At 43.4% G+C, this 8,383-nt stretch overlaps 1 annotated feature.

Moving 5' to 3' along the window:
* Positions 7,863-8,383: an enhancer, noted in NCBI's record as "NANOG hESC enhancer chr3:190909180-190909700 (GRCh37/hg19 assembly coordinates)". NCBI's record gives its function as "activates a minimal SCP1, AML or CMV promoter by ChIP-STARR-seq in naive H9 embryonic stem cells {active_cell/tissue: H9 hESC(naive)}" and the evidence as "EXISTENCE:reporter gene assay evidence [ECO:0000049][PMID:30033119]".

The following is an 8,383-nucleotide window of genomic DNA, read 5'->3' on the forward strand; positions in this document are numbered from 1 at the left end:
TCTTCAGGCAAAATGATAAGGTACTACATGTAAATGTGAATCTAAACACCCACAAAAAGCAGCATCAGCCATGATAAATGTAGGTAAACATGAAAAATTTTAAAAATCCTTTATATTGCTAAAATAGTTAACTATAGAAAGCAAAAATGAAAAAATGTGGGATTATGACAGGTAAACTTAAAATATATGACAATAATACTGCAGAGGATAAAGAGAAAATAGATATTTGCTATTGAAAGATTGTTGCATTAAGTGGAAAATTATGATTTGAAGGAAGATTGTAGCAACATAATGGTGCATATTGTAAACCTATAGCAGCAACTTAAAAATAAAACAGAGGTAAAAGTAACAATCCAAAGTAAGACAGAATGACAGGAAAGAAAGAACAAAGAACAGATGGGGAAAAAAAAGCTTATAAAATAACAGTTTTAAGTCTAAGTATACCAATAATTGCATTAAATGCAAATAATCAAAATATACAGTTAAAATTTAGAGATTGTCAGTTTGGGGAAATGAAAGCATAATCCAGTTCTGTGCTTTTTATGGGAACTAAGTTTTGAAAAATCCATAGGTTAACTAAAAGTAAAAAGATAGGGGAGAATGAATATCATGTCAATAATAATAAAAAGAAAGCTGTAGTGAACAAATTAATATAAAAATAATAATTTTAGTAGGGATAAAATGATAAATTACATAATGATGAAGGGATATACACCTAATCAATAGCTTAAAATTCATACAGCAAAAGCTGATACAACTAAAAACAAATAGAGAAATTTACAATTGTACTTAGAGACATAAGCAATCCTTCCTCAGTAATTGGGAGAGCAAGTAGATAAAGGTCATTAAAATATGGATTTGAACATTTGAACCAATGGAACGGTTAAGATCTATAGAACAATCATCTCAATAATAAAAATTCTTTTTAAAGTCCACATAAAACTTCACCAATCTATGGTATATTTTGACCATAAAACAAATGTTGACAAATTTAAAAGAATTGGCAAAATACAAAGTATGTTTACTGATAATAAAACAATTAAACTAAAAGATAATAACAGGAAAAAATATGGAAAATAGTCAATTATTTTGAAAATAAATTACTTATGTTTAAATGACCAATAGTAAATTTTTTAATTAGAAAATATTTCAAATTTAGCTAGACGTGTTGGCTCACGCCTGTAATAACCCAGTTTGGGAGGCCAAGGTAGGTGGATCACCTGAGGTCAGGAGTTCGAAACCAGCCTGGTCAACATGGCGAAACCTCATCTCTACTGAAAATAAAAAATTAGCCAGGCGTGGTGGCAAGCACCTGTAATCCCAGCTACTCCGGGGGCTGAGGGAGGAGAATCACTTGAACCCAGGAGTCAGAGGATGCAGTGAGTTGAGATCATGCCACTGCACTCCAGCCTTGGCAACAGAGCAAGATTCTGCCTCAAAACAAAACAAAACAAAAAAGAAACTATTTCAAATTCAATAAAAACGAAACAGAAAATATAAAAACATATTGGATATAGCCAGGGTGGTGCCTAGAAAAAAAGTTTATAGTATGTATAAATCTGTTTTTGCATTGCTATAAAGAACTACATGAGACTGCATAATTTATAAAGAAAAGAAGATTAATTGGCTCACAGTTACATCGGCTGTATAGGAAGCATGGCTGTGGAGACCTCAAGAGATTTATAATCATGGCAGAAGCCAAAGGGGAAGCAGGCATATTTTCATATGCCCAGAGCAGGAGGAAAAAGAGAGAGGGGAGGTGCCACATACGTTTAAACAACCAGATCTCCTGAGAACGCATTCACTATAACAATAACAGCAAGGGGGAAACCCATCCCCAAGATCCAATTGAGAGGTGAAGAAGCTGGCTGGGCTTCTGGGTTGGATGGGGACTTTGAGAACTTTTCTGTCTAGCTAAAGGATTGTAAATGCACCAATCAGCGCTCTGTGTCTAGCTAATGGTTTGTAAATGCACTAATCAGCACTCTGTAAAAACGGACCAATCAGCTCTCTGTAAAATGGACGAATCAGCTCTCTGTAAAATGGACCAATCAGCTCTCTGTAAAATGGACCAATCAGCAGGATGTGGGCGGGGCCAAATAAGGGAATAAAAGCTGGCCACCCTAACCAGCAGGGGCAACCAACTCAGGTCCCCTTCCACACTGCGGGAGCTTTGTTCTTTCGCTCTTCGCAATAAATCTTGCTGCTACGCACTCTTTGGGTCCGCACTACCATTTATGAGCTACAACACTCACTGCAAAGGTCTGCAGCTTCACTCCTGAAGCCAGTGAGACCACGAACCCACCAAAAGGAAGAAACTCTGGACACATCTGAACACCTGAAGGAACAAACTCTGGACACTCCATCTTTAAGAACTGTAACACTCACAGTGAGGGTCCACAGCTTCATTCTTGAAGTCAGTGAGACCAAGAGCCCACTGGAAGGAACCAATTCCAGACACATTTTGGCAACTCAGATGGGACTATCGACTATCGCCAAGCAGTGAGTACCATCGGACCCATTTCACTTGCTATTCTGTCCTTAGAATTCAGGGGCTAAACACCAGGCACCTGTTGGCCATTTAAAAGCTACTAGCACGTCCACAGGACTAAAGACACGGGTGTCAGGCTTTCTAGGAAAGGACTCTCTAACAACTCCCAACTCTTTGGAGTTGGGAGCGTTGGTTTGCCTGGAACCAGCTTCCACTTTTCCTGTACTTTTGGGCTGAGCTGAGGATCTACAGAGAGGAGAGCCGTTCAGCTCCGGGGTCCTGACAACAAGTTGGTTGACCCTGTGGCCATGAGCGGAACTCTCAAAGACATGTCACCCAAGCGAGACTCGCCCATCTATCCTATCTATCCTAACCCTTGCCCCCTGGATCCTAACACCTGCCAGACAAAATTCCTCTCGCCTCTCCTCTCCAAGGCTAGTGCTGCTTCTAAAAACCACTCCCTGTCTCTGGTGCTTTTCTAGTTTCTCCTATAAGAATGATTTCTAGTATAAATTTCAGGACTCTGTTACCTTCTTTAGGCAACTGGGCTCACCAATCAGAAAGACATAATTTTTGCCCAAAGCCCCATCATAGGGGGGAATATCTGGAAATTTAGGATCCCTCCTCAGACAAGTAGGCATAACAAAAGCTATTCCTGAAGCTAGGATATGAGGAGCCTCAGAAATTGTATCCTTCCTATTCATATAAGTGAGGGCAAAAAGACATCACTCTTCCAACTCTGGAGATCCCTCCCCTCCCTCAGGGTATGGCCCTCCACTTCATTTTTGGGGCATAACATCTTTATAGGAAATGGGTAAAGTCCCAATACTAACAGGAGAATGCTTAGGACTCTAACAGGTTTTCGAGAATGCGTCAGTAAGGGCCACTAAATCCAATTTTTCTCAGTCCTCTTTGTGGTCTAAGAGGACAGGCAAGGGTGCAGGTTTTTGAGAATGCATCGGTAAGGGCTACTAAATCCAACCTTCCTTGGTCATCTTTGTCGTCTAGGAGGAAAACTAGGGTTTCTGCTGCTGCGTCAGTGCACACAACTATTCCGATCAGCAGGATCCAGGGACCGTTGTGGGTTCTTGGGCAGGAGGAGAAACAAAACAAACCAAAACTGCGAGACGTTTTGTCTTTCAGATGGGAAACACTCAGGCATCAATAGGCCCACCCTTGAAATGTATTCTAAGCCATTGGGACCAATTTGACCTGCAAACTCTGAAAAGGAGGTGGCTCATTTTTTTCTGCACTATGGCCTGTCCCCAGTATTCTCTCTCTGATGGGGAAAAATGGTCACCTGAGGGAAGTATAAATTACAATACTATCCTGCAGCTTGACCTTTTCTGTAAGAGAGAAGGCAAATAGAGTGAAATACCTTATGTCCAAGCTTTCTTTTCATTGAAGGAGAATACACAAATTGCAAAGCTTGCAATTTACATCCCACAGGAGGACCTTTCAGCTTACCCCCATATCCTAGCCTCCCTATAGCTCCCCTTCCTATTAATGATGAGCCTCCTCTAATCTCCCCTGCCCAGAAGGAAATAAGCAAAGAAACCTCCAAAGGACCACAAAAACCCCGAGGCTATCGGCTATGTCCCCTTCAAGCTGTAGGGGGAGGGGAATTTGGCCCAACCCGGGTACATGTCCCCTTCTGTCTCTCTGATTTAAAGCAGATCAAGGCAGACCTGGGGAAATTTTCGGATGATCCTGATAGGTACATAGATGTCCTGCAGGTCTAGGGCAAACCTTCGATCTCACTTGGAGAGATGTCATGCCATTGTTAGATCAAACCCTGGCCTTTAATGAAAAGAATGCGGCTTTAGCTGCAGCCCAAGAGTTTGGAGATACTTGGTATCTTAGTCAAGTAAATAATAGAATGACAGCCAAACCAAAGGACAAATTCCCTACTGGTCAGCAAGCTGTCCCCAGTATGGATCCCCACTGGGACCTCGACTCAAATCATGCAGACTGGAGTCATAAACATCTGCTCACCTGTGTTCTAGAAGGACTAAGGATAATTAGGAAAAAGCCCATGAATTATTCAGTGATGTCCGCCATAACTCAGAGAAAGGAAGAAAATCCTTCTGTCTTCCTTGAGTGACTATGGAAGGCCTTAAGAAAATATACTCCCCTGTCACCTGAATCACTTGAGGCTCAATTGATTCTAAAAGATAAGTTTATTACCCAATCAGCTGCAGATATCAGGAGAAAGCTCCAAAAGCAAGCCCTAGGCCCTGAACAAAATTTGGAGGCATTATTAAACCTGACAACCTTGGTGTTCTATAATAGGGACCAAGAGGAACAGGCCCAAAAAGAAAAGCGAGATCAGAGAAAGGCCACAGCCTTAGTCATGGCCCTCAGACAAACAAACGTTGGTGATTCAGAGAGGACAGAAAATGAAGCAGGCCAAACACCTGGTAGGGCTTGTTATTAGTGTGGTTTACAAGGACATTTTTTTTTTTATTTTTTATTTGTATTTTTTTCTTTGAGATGGAGTCTCGCTCTGTCACCTGGGCTGGAGTGCAGTGGTGTGATCTCGGCTAACTGCAAGCTCTGCCTCCCGGGTTCATGCCATTCTCCCACCTCAGCCTCCTGAGTAGCTGGGACTACAGGTGCCTGCCACCACGCCTGGCTAATTTTTTGTATTTTTAGTAGAGATGGGGTTTCACCATGTTAGCCAGGATGGTCTCGATCTCCTGACCTCATGATCCACCTGCCTTGGTCTCCCAAAGTGCTGGGATTACAGGAGTGAGCCACTGCGCCCAGCCAAGGACACTTTAAAAAGATTGTCCAATGAGAAACAAGCCGCCCCCTCATCCATGTCCACTATGGCGAGGCAATCACTGGAAGGCACACTGCCGCAGAGGACAAAGGTTCTCTGGGCCAGAAGCCCCCAACCAGATGATCCAAAACAACACGACTGAGGGTGCCCAGGGCAAGTGCCAGCTCATGTATCACCCTCACTGAGCCCCGGGTACATTTAACCATTGAGGGCCAGGAAATTGACTTCCTCCTGGACACTGGCGTGGTCTTCTCAGTGTTAATCTCCTGTCCTGGACGACTGTCCTCAAGGTCCATTACCATCCGAGGAATCCTGGGACAGCCTGTAACCAGGTATTTCTCCCACCTCCTCAGTTGCAATTGGGAGACTTTGCTCTTTCCACATGCCTTTCTTGTTATGCCTGAAAGTCCCACACCCTTATTAGGGAGGGATATATTAGCCAAAGCTGGAGCTATTATCTACATGAATATGGGGAACAAGTTACCATTTGTTGTCCCCTACTTGAGGAGGGAATGAACCCTGAAGTCTGGGCATTGGAAGGACAATTTGGAAGGGCAAAAAAATGCCCACCCAGTCCAAATCAGGCTAAAAGATGCCACCACTTTTCCTTATCAAAGGCAATATCCCTTAAGGCCTGAAGCTCATAAAGGATTACCGGATATTGTTAAACATTTAAAAGCTCAAGGCTTAGTAAGGAAATACAGCAGTCCCTGCAACACCCCAATTCTAGGAGGACAATAACTGAACAGTCAGTGGAGACTAGTGCAAGATCTTAGACTTATCAATGAGGCACTAATTCCTCCATATCCAGTTGTAACCCACCCCTATACCCTGCTCTCTCAAATACCAGAGGAAGCAGAATGGTTCACTGTTCTGGACCTCAAGGATGCCTTCTTCTGTATTCCCCTGCACTCTTACCTCCAGTTTCTCTTTGCCTTTGAGGATCCCACAGACCACACGTCCCAACTTACATGGATGGTCTTGCCCAATGGGTTTAGGGATAGCCCTCATCTGTTTGGTCAGGCACTGGCCCAAGATCTAGGCCACTTCTCAAGTCCAGGCACTCTGGTCCTTCAGTATGTGGATGATTTACTTTGGCTACCAGTGCAGAAGCCTCATGCCAGCAGGCTACTCTAGATCTCTTGAACTTTCCAGCTAATCAAGTGTACAAGGTGTCTAGGTCGAAGGCCCAGTTTTGCCTACAGCAGGTCAAATATCTAGGCCTAATCTTAGCCAGAGGAACGAGGGCCCTCAGCAAGGAACGAATACAGCCTATGCTGGCTTATCCTCACCCTAAGACATTAAAACAGTTGTGGGGGTTCCTTGTAATCACTGCCTTTTGCCAACTATGGGTCCCCAGATACAGCGAGATAGCCAGGCCCCTCTATACTCTAATCACGGAGACCCAGAGGGCAAATACTCATCTAGCAGAATGGGAACCAGGGGCAGAAACAGCCTTCAAAACCTTAAAGCAGGCCCTAGTACAAGCGCCAGCTTTAAGCCTTCCCACAGGACAAAACTTCTCTTTATACGTCACAGAGAGAGCAGGGATAGCTCTTGGAGTCCTTACTCAGATTCATGGGACAACCCCACAACAAGTGGCATACCTAAGTAAGGAAATTGATGTAGTAGCAAAAGGCTAGCCTCACTGTTTAAGGGTATTTGTGGTGGTGGCCATCTTAGTGTCAGAGGCTATCAAAATAATACAAAGAAAGGATCTCACTGTCCAGACTACTCATGATGTAAATGGCATACTATCAGACAACTGCCTACTTAGATACCAGGCACTACTCCTTGAGGGACCAGTGCTTCAAATACGTACGTGCATGGCCCTCAACCCTGCCAATTTTCTCCCAGAGGATGGGGAACCAATCGAGCATGACTGCCAACAAATTATAATCCAGACTTATGCCGCCCAAAATGATCTCTTAGAAGTCCCCTTAGCTAATCCTGACCTTAACCTATATACCGATGGAAGTTCATTTGTGGAGAATGGGATACAAAGGGCAGGTTATGCCATAGTTAGTGATGTAACCAAACTTGAAAGTAAGCCTCTTCCCCCAGGGATCAGCACCCAATTAGCAGAACTAGTGGCACTTACCTGAGCCTTAGAACTGGGAAAAAGAAAAAGAATAAATGTGTATACAGTAGAAAGTATGCTTATCTAATCCTACATGTCCATGCTGCAATATGGAAAGAAAGGGAGTTCCTAACCTCTGGGGGAACCCCATTAAATACCACAAGGAAACCATGGAGTTATTGCATGCAGTGCAAAAACCCAAGGAGGTGGCAGTCTTACACTGTCAAAGCCATCAAAAAGGGGAAGGAGAGGGGAGAACAGCAGCATAAGTGGCTGGCAGAGGCAGGGAAAGACCAGCAGAAAGGAAAGAGAGAAAGAGAAAGTCAGAGAGAGAGACAGAGGAAGAGAGAGAAAAAGAGGGAATCGGAGAGAAAGAAAGAGACAAAGACAAAGAGATAGAGGAAGAGACAGAAAGAGGGAGTGAGAGAGAGAGAAAGAGAGAGACACAGAAAGTCAAAGAGAGAAGGAAAGAGAGGAAGAGACAAAGGAGTCAAAGAGAGAGAAAGAGATAGAAGTGGTAAAGAAAAAAACAGTGTACCCTATTCCTTTAAAACAGAGTAAATTTAAAACCTATAATTGATAATTGAAGGTCTTCTCTGTAACACTCCAATACCACCTTGTTGTCAGTACAAACAAGGGCATAGCCCAAAAGCACTGAGGCCACTGACAACCCATAGCCTTCCTATCCAAAATCCTTAACCCAGCAGGTTTCCTAACAGGAGATCTAAATCTCATTACCATACAAAAGTCCAACCAGACATAGGAGGAACTCCCTTCAGGACAGGACAATAGATGGGTCCTCCCGGGTGATTAAGGAAAAAGCAGCAGTGGCTCTCCAAAACTGCGGAGGTCTAGGCCTCCTCATTGCTGAGAAAGGAGGATTCTGCACCTTCTTAGGGGAAGAGTGTTGTTTTTACACTAACAAGTCAGGGATAGTACAAGATGCCACCCAGTGTTAACAGGAAAAGGCTTCTGAAATCAGACAACGCCTTTCACAACTCTTATACTAACCTCTGGAGTTGGGCAA

The sequence above is a fragment of the Homo sapiens genome, chromosome 3 (assembly GCF_000001405.40).
Source record: "Homo sapiens chromosome 3, GRCh38.p14 Primary Assembly".
NCBI lineage: Eukaryota > Metazoa > Chordata > Mammalia > Primates > Hominidae > Homo > Homo sapiens.